Source organism: Homo sapiens, chromosome 1, assembly GCF_000001405.40.
Source record: "Homo sapiens chromosome 1, GRCh38.p14 Primary Assembly".
Classification (NCBI taxonomy): domain Eukaryota; kingdom Metazoa; phylum Chordata; class Mammalia; order Primates; family Hominidae; genus Homo; species Homo sapiens.
The window spans coordinates 76,401,375-76,424,116 of record NC_000001.11 but is presented as its reverse complement, the minus strand read 5'-3'; the positions used below and the strand labels follow the sequence as shown (position 1 = coordinate 76,424,116).

The 22,742-nt window shown below is 35.9% G+C and overlaps 1 protein-coding gene across 15 annotated transcripts in view; it reads right to left on the bottom strand.

The window, feature by feature from the left end:
* Positions 1-22,742, bottom strand: part of ST6GALNAC3 (ST6 N-acetylgalactosaminide alpha-2,6-sialyltransferase 3) — a 562,594-nt gene that overhangs the window by 213,223 nt on the left and 326,629 nt on the right. For all 15 annotated transcript variants that reach the window (NR_146056.2, NM_001349109.3, NM_001349106.2 and 12 more), the window contains one exon: positions 11,700-12,109. Coding sequence is in view for 14 of the 15 variants with exons in the window: in NM_001349109.3 (NP_001336038.1) it covers positions 11,700-12,109 (410 nt within the window). In the remaining variant the exon portion in view is untranslated. The remainder of the gene's footprint in view (positions 1-11,699; positions 12,110-22,742) is intronic.

The window sequence follows — 22,742 nt, the reverse complement described above, 5'->3', positions numbered from 1 at the left end:
AACTCACAGGTTAAGACTAGAAGACATATCAGAAATATAGAACATGTCATGAAAAAGTCACCTTGGAATAGCAACCATTCTTTGTTTTGCATTTACCTTCGGAGCTTTTGTACCTCCACAATGATACAGCTGATGTAGTGTAGGACACTCATTTCATTACGAGGATATTAACACCTTTGTTAGTAAAGATTTAATGGTCAAAAATCTACTATCAACTAGAAGAATTAAGATAGATTGACAATCCTTCCCAAAAGCTCCCAACTATATCCCCTTCTCTCTCTACTACCCTCCAATCAACAAAAGTTCAAGAAAATTTCATAAGTTTAATATTAAAACTGTGTAGAGAAGTATTTTAGGAGAGAATAAACAACCTATTCACGTCAGAAGAATGTTATTACATGCCTGTAATAGTGCCTTTGCATGAGTTATCTAGTAATAACTTTAGTTCTCCTTTTAGTGAAGATTATAAAGAAAAAGAAAATATGTTTTTGCTCCAATTGTTGAATATCTCAGATAAGACTGTTTTCCACATTCTAAATTTTAACCAGTTCTCTGCTCTGCATGGTTTCCATGTTTCTGTAAAGGGTTGCCTATCCATTTTGCCAGTAGAGCTTAATAAATGTTTCTGTTCTTTTTCAATGCTTCTCATTAAATTGTATGCTTCCCTCATACCACCTTCTTCATAAAAAAAGCATACAATAAATGAAAAAGAACGCTTGGCTTTGGTCATAATATTCCTTTCTTTTCAGCAATGCCAATCGCAGGGCTAGAAACTCCAAGGAAATGGCCCTAGTTATCCATTTCTAACATGATAAGTCAGAGAACTGAATGCTGTTTGTGATCTTCCGTTTGTAGATATACTTCCTAGATAACTACCTCACCCAGATAACATAGGCAAAAAAGAAATTACATATTATTGGAGGTAATGCTGTGATGATGGCAGTTGTCAAACAGTGCTAATCTGAACTACACGGCAGAAGGAAAATGACTAACTCATACACTGTCAGGGTAATAAATACCTAATGAGCAAAATTGCAAAGCAAATAGCAGGTTGAACATACACACAAATGTTGATTCTTGATTCAAAAGTCAGAGAACAGAGTGATTTGTCTCTCTGTCTAGAATGATGAAGCATCACTCCCTTATAAGCTACTGAGCAGCACCATCTGGTATAATTACAGAGGAGCAAGATCTTAAGAAAGTGAAGAATAAAATGACAGAGTTGCAGTAGGACTTTCACAGGAGGTTAAAAAACTCCTCGCCGTGAAAAATATCATAACAAAAATAGTGCTAGATGTTCGTGCAACAATATGCCAATAGAATAAAGATTATAGGACCAAATGTTCAAAATAATTGAATGTGACTTGATATCTTAGAATTCTTTATCACGGTAGTTCTTGAAGTGTGATCCCAGGACCAGCAGCAACATTGCCTGGAATTCTGTTAGAAATGCAAACTCTTGGGCCTCAATCCAAGCATACCAACCCAGAAAGTCCAGGAATGAGCCCAGCAATCTGTGTTTTAATCAGCACCCCTTGTAATTCTGATGCAAGCTCACGTTTGAGAACCGCTGTTCTACTAATCCAAATAAGAATGAGACATTTTTGCTGTTTCCCCTGGATACCAAAGAAATCAGAAATCAATTCTGTTTAAACAACTGGTCCATGTGTTGAAGAATAAAAATCAGTCAGACCAGTTCCTTGAGTGCAATGATGATCTCTTGGATAAGACAGCTTCAATACTAGCACCTTTTTGTAAAACAACAGCAGAAAAAACAGCCTTAAACTTGTAACTTAATTGCACTGTTTCTGAGTGGATGCATTTTTTTCTTTAAGCGATTAAAGACCCCCATGATAACTTTTTGCAAGTTTGCCTGAATCCTTTATTCAATTGTTTTTCCACCTCTAGGTCATTTATTTAGCAAATATTGAGTGTCTACTACACAACATATATTCTTCTAGGTGCTTGAGATATATTAGTGAACAAAACAATGATCCTTGGCCTTAGAGAACTCATATCCCAGTAGGAGAAATACATAGAAAACACTAAAAATTAAAATAAATAAGTATATTATATAGAATGTTAGAAGGTAATGCTATAAGAGAAAAAAATAAAATAGAACAAGGTAAGGAAAATTGGGAATGCTGGGTATGTGAGGTAAGGATTTCAATTTTAAATGCTATCATGGTAGACTCATCAGAAGTGATTGGAAGTCACTGTAAACACGTGTTTTTATTCTAAGGAAAATGGAGGACTATTGCAGGATTTTGAGCAGGAGAGTGACATGATCTGAATATGCCAGAAATGCTTTCATTAATTTTCCTCTTAGTCTATATACAAATTTATTCTTCATTTATGCAGTTGGTTGAAAGACACAACTACCAATTTTTTCTTTTCTTTATGTTCATCATGAAGGCATTTAAAAAGTAAGGCAATTTATTTTCTTTGTTACCAAAGAAGAAAATATTTTCTGGAGGGCAATTTAAAGTTTGGTAGAGAAGCTCAGGTTGTTTTATGAGAGTTTTCAGTTCTCCTTTACTTGGGTATTTTGTTTTCTGACTTCTGTGGTGGTGCTTATATTTGCCTCCTGAAGCCCAAGAGTATAACTTTGACTTTGGGTACTAGGATTTGCTTTCTCACCAGGCAACTGACAGCTAACAGAATTGTGAGTGAAGCCTTGGAATTTGCTTCACAACTGAAGTGAAACTAAAATGGAAACCTGTATTTGAGGAATGGCTCTGCCAGTTACTTATTAAAAACCCAGTGCCCAATCACAAAATCCCTAGAGAAGGTAATAGATTTGCCAGCCTTTGGGTAAAGTAAAGTAAGACGTGGTCTCTCTAAATAGAACTGTGGAAACTTTTCTATCAAAATCCAATCCTAGAACTTGCCTCTTTGGCATTGCTGTGACCCTTCTTGTTGAAAAAAAGTATTTTGAAATTCACTGGTATTTCAACAATGGCAAAGGGACTTTTAAGCTTAAAAAAGATATTAAGTGTTATTTCTTCTTTTACTCGTCCATTTATTTATTCATTCACCCATTAAATCTTTACTGAATACCTATTAAAGTCAAGCATTATGTCAAGGTGCTTGGAGAAACAAGGCTGGTATTCCCTCAAATAGTTTATGGACCACTTGAAGAGATTAAACATAAATAACAATAACGCATGGTAGAAAGTTATTATTTCTATAACAAGGAAGTCCATAACCCTACGATTTTCAGGGGAAGTAGGAATTCTGTAGGGATATTACAAGAGGCTTCATGAAAAGGTAACATTTGACTTGTTCATAAAGTATGGCCTGCATGTGTGTGCATGGTGACAGGGGGAAGTGCAATTTAGGCAGAGGGAACTATCTCTGCCAAAACATAGAGGTAGGACTAGATAAGCAGTCACGTATGTGTGAGGTAAAGAAGGCCTAAACTAGAGCAGTGGTAGTGATAATAATAGAACAAAGAAAAGGAGTTACTGCTGAGGTCAATTTAAGGACACTTGAAACATCCATGGCCCCTTTAACTGAAAGACAGAGAGTGAAAATAATACATTCTTTTGGTACTGTATTTTATGGCTAACCACCGCTATGCTAGATCTGAGAATAAAATGGAGATGGGTGTAGTCCCTGTCCTTAGGACATGTGTTGTTGTTCAATGAAAGAAATGAACACATAAACACAATTCAGATACACAAGTCTCCAGTTGAATTCTTAAGGACTTCTCTGAGCCCCATTATTAATTTGCTAAGGAATAGGGCAGGATCACAAAGTTAGGATCCAACTACAAGCAGATTACAAAGCTATTTGGGAAACAGATATTCTTGACTTGTGTATTTATTTGGTTCAAGAAAAAATGAATGTCTTTTACTTTGTTAATAGCATAATTCAAAGTGCCATCTGCAGATGAACAGGATGGCCGGGCCTGGAAACTTGTTAAAAATGAAAATTCTCAGGCCCTGCCTCAAATCATTTGGGTCAGCAGGTGGCTTGATGTACATTAAAGTTTGAAAAGCACTGTACTGATCTAGAGGACCTACTCTTCACTAAGAAAAGGAGCTATGGGGTTTTTCTCTCTCCGCTCGGAGCACCCCTCCCTCTGTCTCTGCACGGGGAGCTTTTTCCTTCTTTCTTGCCTATTAAACTTTCCACTCCTTGAAACAAACAAACAAAAAAAAAAAAAAGAAAGAAAGAAAGAACAAACAAGAACAAAAGAAAGAAAGAAAAAGAGCTAACTAGAGGAGTCCATGTAGGTCAGTAATACCATATCTAATAAGAAGTCTGTTTACAGAGAAGCAAAAATTCAATTCGGCAAACATCTGTAGAGCTCTTATAACATCCCAGACACAGTGAAAGGTATTTTGAAATATTTGCCCAAGCAATTAAACATCTAGTAGTACAGATGGGCGTAGTATAGGATGAAAATTTTCAAAACAACCAACTCTGTCTTAAAAAGAGTCAAGCATCCAAGAATAGAGAAAAAACAGAGATTGCTGCTGGCTCATATGTTTTAAAGACAAGAATGTAACTATCCTTACTTGTCTTAATTTTGAACTAAACTTGAAGAAGGAGGCATAGGTCAAAAAAAAATCTAAGGAGAGGAGAAATAATTGTAAGAGAGAAGTAAGTCAACTACAGAGATAGATCCCATGATGCATAAATAAATAAACCCTTTAAAGCCTGTATAAAATTTAAAAGTCTGTATACATTTTAATGAAGCTTCCCATTTAAGGCCTACTTTTGCCTTTGAGTTTCACACCCTTTGGGGGTTTAAAAGCCACTACATCTAGAGAACTGTTGAGCATACATGTCTACTGGGATTTTTTTTCTATACAGTATAATTTTTTCTGAGAATCTGGCCTTCTGTCAAGTCATCCTCTGGCCCAGAGAACTTTATTTCACTCAGTAGACTGCTTGGAAGTCTTGATTTCCACAACCACTGATGTCCTGCACAGCTTTTTGCTTTAAAATATGATCACTGAACTTGAGATGTTGCTCTTGTTTTAATCCTAAATTGTCTTGTCAAATACATCAGAGTTTCACCCAGTGCATTTGTATATGTGTGTGTGTGTGTGTGTGTGTGCACATGAGGGTGTTTTTAAACACATGAAAGGTTTGTACTGATATCTTTATAAATTACAAATGCCCTTCCCTACCTCCCATTATTAAAATAGATCGTTCCTTTTTTTTTTTGAATTTTTAATTTCCAGCGCATTTGTATTACAGAGGAGGCCTAATGTAGGTCACTGAATGCCATCATAAATAATGGTAAAAAGGAAGTTCCCCTGTTTCATAATGCTTGTTAGCGTGAAAACACAACCCTGAATGCAGTATTATGCTTTTTGACTAAGGAGTCCTATGGATCTGCCCATGACTGCTGCATGAACTTTTTGTTCCTGCCAAATACACCAGCTGGGATGGGGATATTAATTCATTCTAACAGAGGTTTGTCAGCATTGCTCCTGAAAAAGTGCTGAGATACTTATATTTGCAAAGACCATCTTCAAAATGAAAAAAAAATGGAAAATACTGTTTTTAATACTGTCTTTTGCCTATTATCTCTTGGTCGAAGTTTTCCTGGGGTTAGCAGGTATTTATTCTGAGTTAGGAATAACCTGACATCTTTGTTTGTGGAATCTAGGTATGGCATTTCTTCGGGCAAACTATGCACATTTCTGTACCCCATGGCGACTCTAAGATATGGCTAGCATAGTTGTTTTATTTTGGTTTTGGTTTTTGCCCTCCACCTTCAAGCTACACTGTGTGTGTTAAGGCGGCTTCCTTGTGTGTTGACAGAGGGACCTACAAGAGGATTCCCAAATTTTCAAGGAAGAAGACTTGAAACCCCTTTCCACTCTAGATATTACTAAAGGTTTGCAAACCTGAGGGATGAGAGCCAATTTCATCTCTACACTTGACCACGCAATGACACAAGAAACTTTCAAAATGGCCAAGCTGAAATAGCAAAACCTGGGCTGCCCTTAAAACCCTTGCTAGCTTATAAAACTGTCACCCCCAAAGATAGTGAGGAATGACACATCGCTGATTTCTTTTTCTCTCCTTAAGATTGAGTGGGAATGGATGGAACAGGCTGGCAAAGATGAGCCAGGTAGAGATCTTGATACTGTATTCACAAATCAGTGTCCCATTTTATGTTTTTAGAAATTGATTTATGTGCATTGTTTCCTAAACAGTCTTTGAAAATGACTCCCTTTCTTTTCATCCTCTTCACCTGAGGCAGGAACATCTTGAAATATTGATTCTATTTGCTGCTAGCTTTCATTAATTTCATCCATCCCTGAAGGTGGAGCCACATTGGCACCAGCTAATTAAGACCTATTTAGGGCAGCTCAGAGTCCTTTAACAGCCCAGAATTAGCTTTGCTCTTTTAATGGGGACTATCGCTTTCTCAATTATTACTTAATTAAATAATGTGCCTATATTTGCAAGCATATTTCTAAAGTGAAATCCAAGCTGCAATTGCCCACCTACCCATAGGAAAGCAGAATATCTCACATTGGCTCTCAACTGCTTCTCTAGAAAAGTTAACATTCCTTTTGCATATGTGTGTGCCAGGAACATGATCACATTCTTCATTGTTAAGTGTGGCACAATGTGCCACTATCAGCCCTACAGCATTTCCATCATATTTCAGTCTTAAGATGTATTAATGCAAATGTGTAAATGTCAGCAGGCTAGTATTATTTATGCATACCAATCATTCAAAGGGGAAAAGGTATTTTGGTCCAGGTTGTTTTGAATATAAAACCTTTAATTTCAAAGATTTCTGGAAGAAATGAAAGTTCTGTAGAATTCACAATACTTGTTTTCCAGAAGTATATTGGTAGGTGACAATCTAAAAGTGACCACTAACCAATGAACCTAGAATTAAAAAAAAAAAAAGAAAGAAAGAAAAAAAAAACAACTGGGCCCCAGAAGATAAAGACAGAAAGGGAAAGCAACCTACTCTATCTGCTCTCTTAGCCTTTCCCACAAGGTCACCCTGTCTAATTGACAAGCCAAATAATTTTAGACAGTAACTAAAAAGAAAGCAAATTAAATTCCATTTGCTTCAAAAAGGTATTCCAATATGTTTGTGAGTTGGCCTAAACTTATTCTAAGACATTTAAATGATATACATATTTCTTCTACTGCTTCATGTTTCCTCAGTGAGGAATTCCTTAAGAAAAAAAACACAATGCTGGCCGGGCGTGGTGGCTCACGCCTGTAATCCCAGCACTTTGGGAGCCTAAGGAAGATGGCTCACGGGGTCAGGAGTTCGAGACTAGCCTGGTCAATATGGTGAAACCCCATCTCTACTAAAAATACAAAAATTAGCCAGGCATGGTGGTGCGTGCCTGTAGTCCCAGCTACTCAGGAGGCTGAGGCAGAGGAATCACTTGAACCTGGGAGGCGGAGGTTGTAGTGAACAGAGATCATGCCACTGCACTCCAGCCTGGGTGACAGAGTGAGACTCTGTCTCAAAAAAAAAAAAAAAAAACAAAACCCACAATACTTGGAAAAGTGAAAAGATGCCTACCTTAAACGGAAGGGCTATATTTTTTTTTAAGTATTTTTACAATTTTAAGAAGCAAGCTGAGAAGCAAAGTTTTCTTTGAGGAACTCCATGTAATCATTTTCCTATCATGAATCACTTTAACTACTAGTGACATATTTTTAATTCTATAAATTATACATAATAATGATGACATTGTCTCTCTGTTAAAAACTTGATGATGAAAATAACTACTTGCTAAAAAGTTCTAATAACTACAGGCAAATCAAACAAAATAGCTTTACAGTTAAAGCAAAATTAAATGGACACCCCTTATTCTCTATTTCCTCATGACTTCAGTGATGTATACCACTTAATTCACTCCTATTTACTTAGGAGAAAAATGTTCTTTTTTGGAGACTATTACCAACATATACTTTGTGAGCACAGATCCACATAAATGTTTGCCATTCAAATGTTTTCTTTGATGCAAAATATCCTTAAAGTGTTTACCATAATTATATTGCTTGTTGTGCTGTTATTCTTATTCTAAGATTATGTGTGTGTGTGTGTGTGTGTGTGTGTGTGTGTGTGTGTGTTGTGGAATAAAGCAGATGAATAATTACATTGAAATCTCTGAGACCTGTGATTGTCAGCATGGTAAAAAGAAGGAACAGATATAAGATAGAGGATGTAAACTTAAAACCTGATAGCCCTGGATTTGAATTGAAAGTTTCGGTTTGAACTCATAACGATTTTATCTTTAAACAATATACACAGTATATATTGTTTACATACTACCTCTGTCCTCTGTAAAGCCCAAGAAACAAAGACCAATCCAGTAGCAATGAGCAGCAATGGTGCTAATATTATGCTCTCTTAACTACTAAAAGAAACTGACGTTCTTTGCAGAAATGTCTGAATCCAGGTCTGCCTCGGAATATGTACAAAAAAAGCCTGAAACATTCCATAATACCAGGAAACAAAGAAGCTATCAAAGACTACTAAGGGCATGTCAAAAGGACTCAAAGCCAATTTGAAGAGGTTCCCATAGGCCAAAATAGGGCAATCTGAGCATAAGGATATAATTTTAATAAATTAAAATACTTCAAGTATGTTTAAGTCTGTAAGTCAATATGTAAATATTAATAATAGTGGACGCCTATAGAGAATGCAAGGAAACTAATACATTAAAACTGGTAAATAAAGAGGAGAACAGGATTGGTTTCTATCTCATGGTAACCAAATGAATAAGAGGGTAAATTACTCTTAATAAAATATATCAGCTAATAAATAAAAAGGATAAGATGAAATAGCACCATTGTGCAATCCTAATACATTATATAATCTAGCAAATAATCATTAATGGCATCTAACATTAAAAAAAGAGAAAACTAGAGAGTATTTCTTCTGAGAGAAGAACCACCTAATGGTTTTGGCAAAAAAAAAAAAAAAAAAAAAAGACATGAATCCAACCAAGCCTCAATACATAAATACCAGTGTAGCAGAAAAAGAAAGATCATGGGAATGTGATTAACAAATCTAGATTGTGGAAAACTCTGTACGACTAATGCCTAGGTTTTTTCAACAACAGGCAGGGAGGGAGATAGAAGAGAGAAGGAGAGACAGGGAAGTTTCTATATAGGTTAGGAGAAATATAAGACACATATCAATCAATTGCTATGTATAAACCTTATGCTAATCCTAATTAAAACAAACTATGAAAAATATATCAATGAGACAATTGGGAAATTTGCAAACTAAATATATAATGATATTAAGGCAGAATTGTTGATTTTTATGTAGGGCAATGGTATTGTATTGATTTTAAGACTTTTTATCTTTTAGAGGTATACACCAAAATATTTATAAATAAAATTATATGATATCTGAGATTTGTTTCAACATAGTCTTTGGTGAGAGAGAAAGTGTGTAGGGGTATAGATGAAACCATACTGGTCATGAATTAATAATTATTCAAGCTAAGTGATGGTTATACAGAGGCTCATTACACCACTAGTGTCTCTATAAGTTTGACATTTTCCTTCATGAAAAGTTGAAAAATATATTCTAGTTTGAAATTTGACAATGAATATCAGATTGTCATGGGAAATTCTTAGACAATAAAAGTCTTTAACATAGATGGGGTTAGGATATAGATTGGGAACAGCAGCTTCTGAGGTCATTTTGATCAACATTTTATTATCCAACCAGGCTCTACTTAAATCACCCATTCTGTCCATTTCTAAAACACTAGCATAGTTGTCTTCTCTTGTCTGGTTGGAGTACTAAGTGAAGCAACCAGACAGAAATAGACTCAGTGAAAAAGATAAGAATGCACCATAAACTGAAACCATATTTCTGTTTCTTTAACTCTCATTTTGGTAACTCTACCAATCGAATGATACCTTGCAAATTAACTTTATCAAGTGAGTAAAATTACCTAGTAATTTTCCTACGATACAGCTTTCTTCATCATGGCCAGTAAGAAAATGATCTCCCAAAGCTATTCTCTCCCAATTCTTTTACAATTTACACATATGTGATGGTGTTGTCTCCCTCAAAGCTCACGGCAAAAGTCAATGTGAAATAAACACATAAAAACATGAACCAACAGCATGCTAAGCTCTTCTCTGATACCTCCCCGCAAATGACTCTAGGGCTTATAGGTATGTCTGGGTGATACCCTGAGGGCTAACTCTAACTAATGAAAAACCAAAATACATTTCATTAATTGCATTGCTCTGGGCTAAGGAGAGATCAGAAATTTCCAAAGCCCTTTGTGAATAGGCTTCATATTTATATAGAATAATGTGACATATGACCATTTTTCTTTGAAGCACCATACCTATCCCTTTCATCTCTACTGCCTGTCATTTTGGACAGTTTATGCTACATTGATTCAAATCTCACCCTTGGGATTCTTCTTGCTAACTCATACAGTCCGAGGAACTAGTATTTCATGGCTATTTCTGTCTTGTATTTCATATGAAGCTGTGTATTTTTGGTGCTCAGAAGTAGAAAATGTTAAATTCAGATCAACCCACATTACCAAAGGAGAGTTGATCCACCTAAGGTTTTTAAGTAATCATCAGCATTCAAATTACATCCAGAGATATCAGAAACTGCACCTCCCTGAGCACATAGCTCAATATAGTTAAAAGCTTAGATTTGATAATATTGAATAGTGAAATACATACATTTTGAAAAAATTGGAATGCTAATATTGGAACTATAGCAGATGCTCAATTTATCCATGATATTGCACAAATAAGCAAAATTCACAGATAATTTAAAACTTTAGCTATTGGTTTCAATATCTTCCCTTAACAGTTCTTTATTAGCGCTAGATATAAGAACTAAGATTGTCTGATTTGTAATTCCTGTTTTCTCTGTTTTAATAGTTATCTTTCTAAAAAGAAAGAAAACATGGCACACAATTCAGTTACAGAAGAGATGAGGGAGCTGGAAATGGAGCAAACAGAGGAAATAGGAGAAGGAAGGGGAGGGGAAAGCAGGCTTCAAGGGAAAAAAGTGCGAAGTGTAGTTTACAGAATGCTACAGAAAAAACATGGATGTAATAAAAAATGCAAATTGGTTTTTGGATAATTGAATGAATAGTATTTATACCTCATTTCTTTAAAATAATTCAACTGCTAATGATTTTAAGGGACGTATAATTTCAATATGGTATTCTGCTGAACAAGTTAGATACCAAGTTATGATGTTCAGGATCACAGTGCCTATTTGCATGCAAGAAGCTACACAATCTTATTGGAGAATCAGTAGCCTGTTCTGTTTGTGGTCTCAGGTAAAATTTTGGCAAAATTCCCAGAGGAGTTTAGATTAATGCATAATCCTAAAGTTCCTTACCATTACTAGGTTTTGAAACAGAAATGTTTAGGCTTCCTCTTTCAGCTGAAATCCAACTCAATCAATAGCAAATGGAACAAAATAAAAAAAGATCAAAAGATACCTTGGGGAAGTATCCAGTGTTTCTTGGAGACTCAAACCAATCAGAATGGAAAGAACAGGAGGTAGTATAGGTGGAATAAATGAGACCTCAGGCTGGCTTATCAAGTAATCATAATAGTCAAAACATATAACAATCAGCGTAAATAAATAACTGTTCATTTTATATCCTGCAAAAGGAATTGGCGAAGATTTAGCATAAAAGATAATAAAAGACAATAAAGCTGCTTCAGAGAGGGCTCACCTGTCCTTCCCAGTTTCCTTCTTAAAAACTCCATCACAGTAACTCATGCGCTTCTCTGTGGTCACGTATATTTGGGCATTCGGATAGATACCAACTGTCTTTTTCAACATGTTGTAAACGATGCCATTGCCATCTTTCCTCATATTGCGGAAAGGTCCCCAAATAACATAAATAGTAGTATTCGCTTCCTTGAAAAAATAATCAGGGTTTTTTAGCAAAAGAGGAACGCTGGTATGGGACACAACTCGAATCATGGTCATGCGGCCGACATCTTCTTCATAACCTTTGGTGGGGGCATTGTTCATTCTCCAAATGCAGGAGGATCGATCTATCTCATTTCCCACCTTCTGGCCAACCATCTGACCTGAGTTTGACACTATGGCACAAAGGTCACAGTCCAGTTGCAAAGGCTGAAAAATAGAGAAAGAAGGCATGTAAATTAGTAAATTCCACTTAGTCAAACAAGTTCCTATGGGAAAACAAAAGTTCATATATTGTATAATTACCAAATATGGAAATATCTCTGAAGTACCTACAAATACCAAACCTACAGTCGCTGCCACAGATTATCAAGTTAACAGCATGCTTCCATTAAAAAAGAAAAAGTATACCGTCAAAAAATAATTTTAATTTCTATAATCCCCACGCCCTGGTTTAAAATTATAGGCAAAAAATAGTTATTTGTTTTCCACTCTAAATGATAAATATTTTTATTCAGAACTGTAATTTCAGGTGAAATAAGAAAATACGAAAAGATTTGATCTTTGTAATAAGGTTGGTGGCTATAAAGGAAATGCAAAAGAAACATATCCAGGGATCAATTATGTATTTTACCTGTATGCATGAATGGTTATGAGCAATTGATAAAAATATGAAGAGTTCAGCAAGCAATGAGGTTATAAAACAGATTTTCAGAACCAGTAACTACTTAAGGTAAGTCCCAGGCTAGCAGAAATATTACAGAGACCCTTCAGAGATTCCCTCAAGTCATCATATTAATTGGCGTCTGTGTTTATGTTTATCCTAGATGGATAAGGAAAGGCCTCCTTTTAGATGGGAAGGTATATACACAGACAGTCTCTATAGTTAGTCTAAGTCCCTTTCTCCCTTTTTATTTAACCACGGAGATAATAGAGACTCGTGGAAGTTAAGCATCAGCTTTCAGGACTTGGAGATGATAAAGCTGCAGTGTTAGATTCAAATCTAGATCGTCTAACTCTAAGCCCACTGCCCTTTCCGTTATTCCTTGCTTTCAGTTCTCCTAAAACAACCAAATAGATTGCTTTTGCTGCTTCTCTCCCACATAGTCACCCTTTCTTTTAAAACAGTAATAAAGAAGCAATGTGCTTTTTTGATATACATCTTTCTCATCTCCCTTCTATGAGATTCCACATTTTGCATCTGACATTCGATCTTGAATTTTTATTGTGCCTGTTGGTGAGTAGCCTCTCTCGACTGGGTACTATCCTTGTTTTATGTATTGTGTTGGACTTTATTGTTTAATTATGTCTGTCCACTAGACAGTAAACTATGTCAGAACAATGCCTATCTTTTTCATTTTAACTCCATTCCCCCGTCAGTCCCTGGAATACATTAAAGGCTCAGTTGGTTAAGTTAGGAAGTGAAAGCAATTGAATTAAAATAACTACACTGAGAGGTAAGATACTGCATAAAAATCAACCAGTTAGTCATCATACAACTGTAACAGACCATTGTTCCTATCAATGGTAGGCACTCACAGCAGTCATAGAGCACCTGCGATGTGTCAGGCACAGTTCCAGGGGTTAGAATTCAGCAGTGAAAACTATAAACAAAAACTCCTGTTCTCATAGAGCTTATATTCAAGTTGGGTGCAGGAGAAAGGCAATAAATAAACTATCATCCCATATAATATGTTAAATTTTGCTAAGTACTAAATCGAGAAAATTAAAGCAGGAAAGGAGGTTAAGAGGTATGTGTGTGCACGTGTGTGTGTGAGTGTGTGAGAGAGAGAGAGTTGGTGGAGTAACCAGAAAAAGACATTGCTGAGAAAATAATCTTTGAGGAAAGACTTGAATGAAGTGAAAGAGTTGGCCATGAGCATATTTAGGAAAAAAGCTTTCCTGCAGAGCAAATGCAAAAACCAATGCAAATACCCTGAGGCAGGAAAGGAATAGGAAGAGCAATGTAGCCTGGCAGAGCCAGTGGGGAGAGCCAAGTAGGTACTGAGGCCAGACAGATAGCAGGGGAGAAATCACTTGGGGTCTTTCAGTTTGCGTGAGATGAAGCGCCATTGAAGGGCTCGGGACAGAGGAATGACTGAGCTGAGTTACATTTTAACAGCTTTGGCAACTGTGTGGAAAGTTGATAAAAAAAAGAGGCCAGGGTGGAAGCAGGAGATTAGGCCGCTGCTACAATCCCAGCAAGAGAGGATAGTGATGTGGACCATGTTGAGTAGCAAAGGAGATGGAGAGAAGCCGCTTATGTTCTGGAAATATTCTGAAGGTACAGCCTATTGAATTGAAACTACTCAAACTGCTTTAAAAACTTTTTCCCCCTAATTAGTAAAGTAATATGGGAAACTCAAAAACTAAAAAGAATGGACAAAATGATTTAAAAAATTCTCCATATTCTCATCACTCAATAACACTACACCGATTTTTGTCATATTTTTTTCCTTTCTATAGATATTATTTTAGACAGGTTGAGAAATGCCATTTATATTCTTTGGCCACCTTGGTTTCTTACTTAATGAGAAACCATTAATCAAAAATCATCAGCCTTTCCCATGTCAGCCCTTAGAGATAGTTTTATGCCTGCACAAGATTCCATTATAGGGATATACCATATGTACCGATTTGCCTACTGCTGGGCATTTAGCTATTATCTGTTTTTTTTTCTACTATAAAAAAGTGCTTTGATAAACATGCTTGTTCTTCCTCCTGCATTTTGGATGCTAACAGTTATTACATTAACTTAAATTAGTTTCTTTGATTTCATTTTTATTTGTACTCCTATAAAATGTGCCAGACCGACAAAGGCATGTGTTTATTTGAAATGTCAAAGATAAAACTTTTGAAAAAAACTTGACTTGCAGAATGCACAAAGGCCCATTTATGAGTTGTCTTAAAACTCTGTTATTAAAGGGACTGTTCATCACCCCTAACACAGTAAGGTTTCTCAACTAATGTGAGTAGCAGGTGGTCCAGGCACCAGATGGGAATAGATCCATACAAGGTGAATGAGTGTATTAGGACACTTGGAAAAGAGAGTTTTATAGGTTAGTGCCATAGTGAAGACTTCACCAGTGACCAAAATGGAGGCACAAGGAAGTGCCCTTTGGGGTCACGCATTGATTTAAGACCCTTCCTCAACCTCTTAGGAGCCTACCTTCTTTTACACAATAGAGAAGAACATAATATTCTTCTTGCCAGACGGCTTGCAGCAGAGCCTGACATCCATTACTCTTAGCTGAGTCCTCCAATTCACTTACAGTCATGCAAATCAATGCCTGATTTAAATTGTGTGTATCATATGGCATACTCCAACTTATCACCAAGATGCATATGGTGCGGGGGGTTACATTCCATTTGCTATTCCAAGAAGTTGCTTCGTTGTGTAATAAAAGCATGGTTGGGGTATAGCCTCCACAAATTTAAACAATCAAAAAGAAGAAAAAGAAAGTCTTGGATATGTTCAAATCTATAAAATGCAGCAAATTACATTGGATTTCCTAGTCATTATAATGAATTAGCCAGTTTTGCTGTAACAAGGCTTAATATAGAATTAAGTGAGACCAGCACACTGGTCTCACTTGACAATTGTAACCTCTGAAAGTGATCAATTAAGACATCACAATCTGTTTCATGACAACACATTGGGATGCCACAGCTGTGCAGATTATGAGGTCAGCAGCTAACTAACAACTTGAGGGCAAACATTGGGAACAACAGCCTCTTGTTTATGTGACAAATATGTCATTGGGTAGAGTATTATGAATGCAACGGCTTTGAGGGTAGATGGTGATCTATAAAATTGCCACTTTGTTTTTTTGTTTGACTATTCACTTGGCCCTACTGTCACCATGGCCGTCATCTTAAGAGACGTTTGTACTTCTTGGTCTATACTTCTGGGTAATAGTTTTGCCTAGCCATCTGCCTTCCTGAATAAGGTACCAGGAGACATGGATGAACATGATAATTGCTCTATTTTACCACTTACTTGCAGGAACCATCTTTAAAGTATGACAAGAGTGTGGGGGCCAGACAAATGGAACATTCCTAATCATAATCAGGAGCTTCAGGTAGCACAAAAAGCTTGCTTGCAAAGCCCAAGGGACTCATTTATACATCTGAAGGCACCTTCAAACTACAGTATGCCATGACAAAAAGAAAGAAATACCTAGGCACAAATGGACAATTTGACCCAAAATCTGCTCTTATCTAGTTATCTCAGTTTTTCTTATTAGCTTTATTACTACGTCTTTTGATCTCAACTTTCTCTGTTAAAGTGTACTGCTATTTCTTCAACTCATTCATATTATTTGATTTGGGGGCTTTGCTTGAAAATTTATTCCATATGTCTTCACTCACTCAGTTCTGCTTCAGTAGGCAGTTACTCTTTCTTTCTAGACTGAGGTCCTGGATTTTCCAAGAACTTTGTTAAGATTTATCTAGTTCCACTTTATCAAGCCACATCTAAATTTTGAATTCTCCCTTTATAGTTGAATTGTCTCTATTTTTTGCTTTTTTTTTTTCATTAAAAACAAACTTGTCTTCTTCATCTTGTCTCTTGTGCACTCAAAGCATCTTTGAAAACATCTTGTACATTCAAAATATTTTCACTGGGCTTCAGCTGTGTCTATAAACTGAGAGCACCACAAATATTCAGCCAACCCTGTCTGGGTCCCTATGTCCTTGTTAAAGAAAGCCACAAATGTCAAACACTTCCTTTTATTTAAGGTCTAAAATATTGATTTTCTTTTATGGTAACAGCACTGTATTTGTTTTGGCTATTTTTTTCCTCTGCAAAAGTATACTAACTCTATACCAGCACATCTGGTTTCAAAACAATCAGCTTGGGAGGAGTTAAGAATTTGGTGACATCTATTGAATAACCACATAATTTTTATTTAGTACCTATTCTGTGCAAGGCACTGTGAAGAGTAAAATAATTTTAAAATTCTAATCAGTGTGAACTTAATCTCAGCACACAGCGCTAAGCTGTGTGGGAGAGTTTCATGATCAACTAGAGTCAATTCGTATGCTGTTTTAGAAGCCTAAGGAATGGCTTTGTAAAACAAGTCATTTCTCTGCTAAAATGAATCTCGACATTTTGCCACCTTACAGGAAAAAATGACTTGATTATTGGCTGGGGCACAGGTAGAAGGTGAGAGAGAGAGGAAGGGAAGAAACAGCACCAGAGAGACCTATAAGTATAGTGTAGTAGAATTTTTGATATACACATGATTGAATGCCTATTACAGGTCAGTCATATTTCTCAGTACTTTATTACATTATTCCACATAATTTTCATGGCAGATTTTTCAAGTTACCTTAATTCATTTTCCATTACTGAGTTGAGGAAGTTGAGATAAACATGATGTCCAAAGGATACTAGATATTTTTCAGGTTAAAAAGAAGAGCATATGTTAACTTTCAGGAAATGCACTCACAGCAGCATTAGGAAATGTGGAATATCAAAGAAATAATTATTACTGATTTTCACTATTCTTAATATACATATATGCAGATACCTCAAATCTTGCTCACTATTATATTTAAATTATTTTAATTAAATCATAGATTAATGCTTTAAACATGCTTGTAATCAATAACTTCACCACTATTCCTTTTTGGCAATAGTGCTAGCATGACATAAAAAATTATTGAAAATGTTTTTGTTGATATTTTCAGCTTGAAATATGGCTGAAATTTCAGTCTAAGATAAACTAATCATGACCAATTTTATTAGCTTTTAAATGGTCCTTCACATCTGCTTACTCAATTTGCTTTTCAAACTGTTTCTTTCACAACAGCAGTGAAAGATTCTCAAGCAATAAATAATTACTGTCCATGTCGGGCAAAAAAGACCATGGCAGATGATATTATTTTCTAAACTGGTCTCCAGGACTAAAGGGAATAATACCTCCCCACTGCCCAAAAGCCTCCTTCAGAAATTCACTTTAGAAATTCACAGTGGCCATTTGCAAGTCCTTGGGAATCAATGTTCATTGAAGACTGTCAAGAGGTCTCTAACTCATGAATGGCTCTTCTCTTCTATGAGGATCCAGGACAATGGCTGACTGGGGTACTATGTTCACACGATGGGTCTTTTTATACCATGCCTGTTTTTATTTTTATTTTATTATAAGCATGAGTATTTGAGAGGCATACAAATGAATTGTTCTGAAAAATACTGAAGAATGTAAGTACAGAGGAATTGATTCCCTGTGAAGGTCCTATGTTCTCTGATACTGTAGGGTGGGGGGAAAGTGTAGATATTCTTAACTCTTTCTAAAAGTCTCTAGCATTTTTATAATTACTCAGCCTTATTTCCTTGTTTGTAAACAATATATTTTATTGACATAGATTCCAGAAATCAATTTACCATGATATGCTTAACCAATTCTTTCCTGGGTAAGAGAGAAAGTGAGTGAGAGAGAGAGGGAGAGAGAGAAATGGCCAAAACTGACAGGTTATTCACCCTGACTGGCAAGTTTCACCTCTCGTTGACTCAGGGTCACTTTTCTCTTTAAATTGGTACACATACAGTAAAAGAACCCTTCTGTTCCTCCATTCAAAATTCACACCACACACACACACACACAAATACACACACACACACACACATCTGTTACCTTCACTTAGCTGATGTGATTGCTCACTCTCCTAGGCCAGTTTCATCCTTACCAACCACCCTGGGAAAACCATCCCTTTCTCTTCTTTGGGTATGAACCTGACAAATTGCCCTATCCTTTCTGAGTGATATATTGGGACAAGTGCCAAGCACTTTACATTTTAATCAGTAAGAATAATGTAATATTTAACCTTTACTTTTTTCTCTCTGAATAAGCTTATAGACAATAGAATAAATAATTAAAATTTGTGAAATAATAAAACTTGCAAAACAGTGGTTTCCACAGCAAAAAGGAACAGCCATGTACGAAAGGTCACCTGTCAACTGGTTCTAGTTATTAAATCTCTGCATTTATCACTAAGGTGGCTCTATGGAAAACGAAGGTCAAGACACTAAATTATGAAACAGTCAGGATTAGAAAAGGTCACCCAAAATTCAAGTAAAATTTAACCAAACCTGCTAATTCTATACCTTCAAAGCAAGTAGAAACAGCCAGATTTGAAACACAACATTGGATAGCTCTAATCTATCTTTCTACTTTAGCCCCATCCGGAAAATGAATTTCTATTTGATATCTTGAAGTCTAAAATAAAACTTGCTTATCTCAAGTAAAAACAAGAACTTCAATGAGTATTTCTAAATGAAAATCATTTCAATTGAACCAGCATAAATTATTAAAAACATTGTTTTACACTACTCTAATGGTTCCTTTCATTTCAACCATAAGGATGCCATTTTAAAAATTGGAGATGGGACACTCCTGGCACCTTAAATACTTTACAGAACAATTAGCAACTCACCACTCACTAATTTACTACTTTAATGTTGAAACAAAAAAGATCTTTGCTTTTCATTATCCAATTTGAATGAATTTGAACAAAGCAGGTTGAACAAAGCTCCAGAGACGCACTCTTCAGTTTGCTGTCATTTATTCCCCTGCTCTTCCTGAATGTCTTTAGAGTTCTAGTTTTAGAGGCTTCAACATGTATAATGACGGCATTGGGGAATAGATTTTGCCTTTATTCTCCTTGATGTTCTTTTTGAGGTCTTTTAAGTGAAAGGTACAAAAGAGGCATTAACAATCTGGCATTGTTTTTATTGCTTGATAAAAAAATGTATTTTAATTTTTCCCGTGTTTCAGGAATGATTAAGCAAGCTGTTTTCATCTACACTGAGTCACTTTCAGCAGACCTTTAACTGTGAGCAAAGAATTGTGAAGACTGTTCTGCAGAGAAATCAACACAGTTCAGCCAAGCTAACCTGTAAATGTACTTCCTTGCCCCTCCACAAACCAGCATCTTCCAGTGAATGCAGCTTTCTAAAGCAATGTGTATAAATCTCACAGCACATAAAAAGACAGATTTGATAACTGATGGTTTAGCTCTGACTCTATGTGGATTTGGGATGTGGCATTTACCTTGGTTCCTACCTGGTGACATTAAATCTAAGCATAAAACTTAATATGGGGGTGCATAAAAATGTTAATGTCATGAAATAATTCTACAACAGGCAACATAAAGCTATGTTTCTCGGTTGCCATATATAATATGCTCCGTTTATTTGGAAGTTCCTCTAGGGAATGGATCTGCATAAACATGTACATGTGCCAGAGGAACGCAACATGTTTTCTCCAGACTGGGAGGCAAAAAACACGTTTTCTCAAACCAAGAAAGAGTTTTCTCATATGGATGTGAATTATGGTAATAATTCATATCCTATTATTACTATTAGGTCACAGTAAAACTTGGATAATTTTATGGCCAACTTACCTCTTGATTATTTTTTTCTCCTTTCAGGAGGATGATCTCAGGACGTGCTGCTAAAATGCCACACAGGAATGTCACAAAAAGAAGGTAAGAAAACTGATTCTTGCTATATGGTATTAGTGTACTTGCATGTCACTCAACTAGGAATATAGTTTTCAACTGGCTATACATTACAATGACCAGGAGAACTTTTAAAAATGGCAATGGCGGGAGTCCACCCCTGACCAAATAAGACAGACAATTTCTGAGGATGGCACCTGCACATAATTTTGTTTAAGTCCCACATGTGATTCCAATAGATGCCTAGGTTTGAGAAACATTCTCCTAGAAGAATTAAAAACAATAAGAGAGGAGACCATAATGTTTGATCAAAGGGATGAAAACAAAACAATAAATTTGAATCCTTAGGGAAGATGCTGGGGTAGGAAATCCTTCTAGTTATCCTTCAAATACTAACAGATTGACAAGAAGCACTTACACATGAAGTCAGCCCTAGAAGTCAGACATTTTGAAGAGCAAATGGAGAGTATACTGGAGGTCTGCATGTAGTGCCAAGCATGAGAACTTCTATTTCCTACAGAGTTATTTTTAATTATATAGCATTAGAGGTTTTATCAATTCTCTGGCTAGAATTTTCTTTGGAGGTAAGGAAAATCATACTACCTAATAAATTTTCTTAATTTTCATGTGGGATTCCTGCCAGCATATAAAGCTAGTGGTAAATGGAACAGTCATTGCCATTCACTCAATACAGATTTTTTTTTTCATTTTGTTTTGCTTTCTGGGCTGAAGGATACTTTAAGGGCTTATAGTTTGAGAGGAGGAGGTTGGTAAAGATGGAATGATTGACGATACAAGAGAAGGACCACTGATGGAGTGAGAATACATGGAAGATAAGACTCAATAATTTAAGAGTATAGTTAGATTGGTACCCTTTGGAAAGGCAGAAATACATCTTTCTTGGAAACAGGAACAATGAATCAAGAATGAGAGAAGAAACAGGTTACTTTATAAGAAAGGACTTCAACTAGATTCACTCTAGGTTCTCTTATATTTCTAAAAGGAAGCAAGTGTTAATTGATGAGAGATAGGGTACTTCGAGTTACAGTTAACAGACTTTAAAATAGGATGAACTTTTGAAAAAGAATATTTTGAGTAAGAGAGTTGAGAATAAAAATGATTGCAAATGATGTTTCAGCTAGAATTTACAAACTATAGATATGTGATGAAGCTACTGTAAGGTATGTATTCTGCCTAAATAATATTCTGGAACACAGAGGCAAGAATGAAGAAAGCAGCTAGTCAGGAGATCATGGTGCGTAGTGTACTGAAAGCTGAAAGTTGGAAGTTGAGAAATAGTCATGGGCACTAGCAACTGGATTCCACACTGAAAGTGGAAGGAAATGGTGGCAAAATTAGTAAATGGAAAAGATAGGGAAGCATGACTGTCTTAGTGGGGTTATGTACATTCCTTGGAGGCAAGGAGAGATATATTTACATTGTACATTCTAAGACTAGGCTTATTTTAGGAATAAGGAGAAGAATGTGGCTTGCATAAACTTTGAGTTAAAGGTCTGTGATTGCAAATGGGATAGGCTCCAGGAAAGCTGTACTATAAGTACGCCTTCTAGTTTCAAAATGAAAACCCAAAGTACAGAAGATATTCAACTTCATTATTGTTAAAAAGTACCATCATGAGAACTTTGACTTCAACAATGTTAACTTTCAAATATCAGACTGCCCTTCTATGGAAAATAACTTAGCTGCAAAAAAAAATATAAATTCATCTCTAAACCATCGAAGACTTAACAAGATGGTAGGAAATTACCAGCCTAGAGAAGACTAGAGCTCACTAACACTAAAATCTGCTTTTGCCCCAGGGGCATTAGTAATTCTGGAAGGAATAGGTGAGCTCTGTTTCTGGAAGCATGTTGGGCCTAGAAGAATAGAAATCAGAATCCAGAGCCCAAGGGTAAACAAACATTCACTTTGAACTAGGATTCCTAGAGTTATTGTAAGATTAAGTCTGAACTGAAAATAAACCAGTCTTATAAAATCTGTCAACCTATTTTATGTCAATTTGTTGTGTCTGATAACCTCAGTTTTGAAAATTTTATTGTGTGTTCCTGAACTTCTATTGACTTTAGACACCTAGAACAACCAAAGAAAAATCTCCTCTGGAGGAAGATAATATCATCCTAGGTCTCAAATCACTGTTACAAATAAAGTTTTAAGCACAATGCCCCATACACAATTAAAAACTTCAGATATAAAAAGAAACAAACCACCATTAAAGAAAACCAACAAAAATACTCACATAAAATCTCCACATACGGAATTACAGGATATAGACTAAAACAATGTTTACGATGTTCAATGAGATTGGAGTCTAGTGAAAAATTTTGCAGGGAAATGAAAACTATAAAAAGTGATGGAGCAG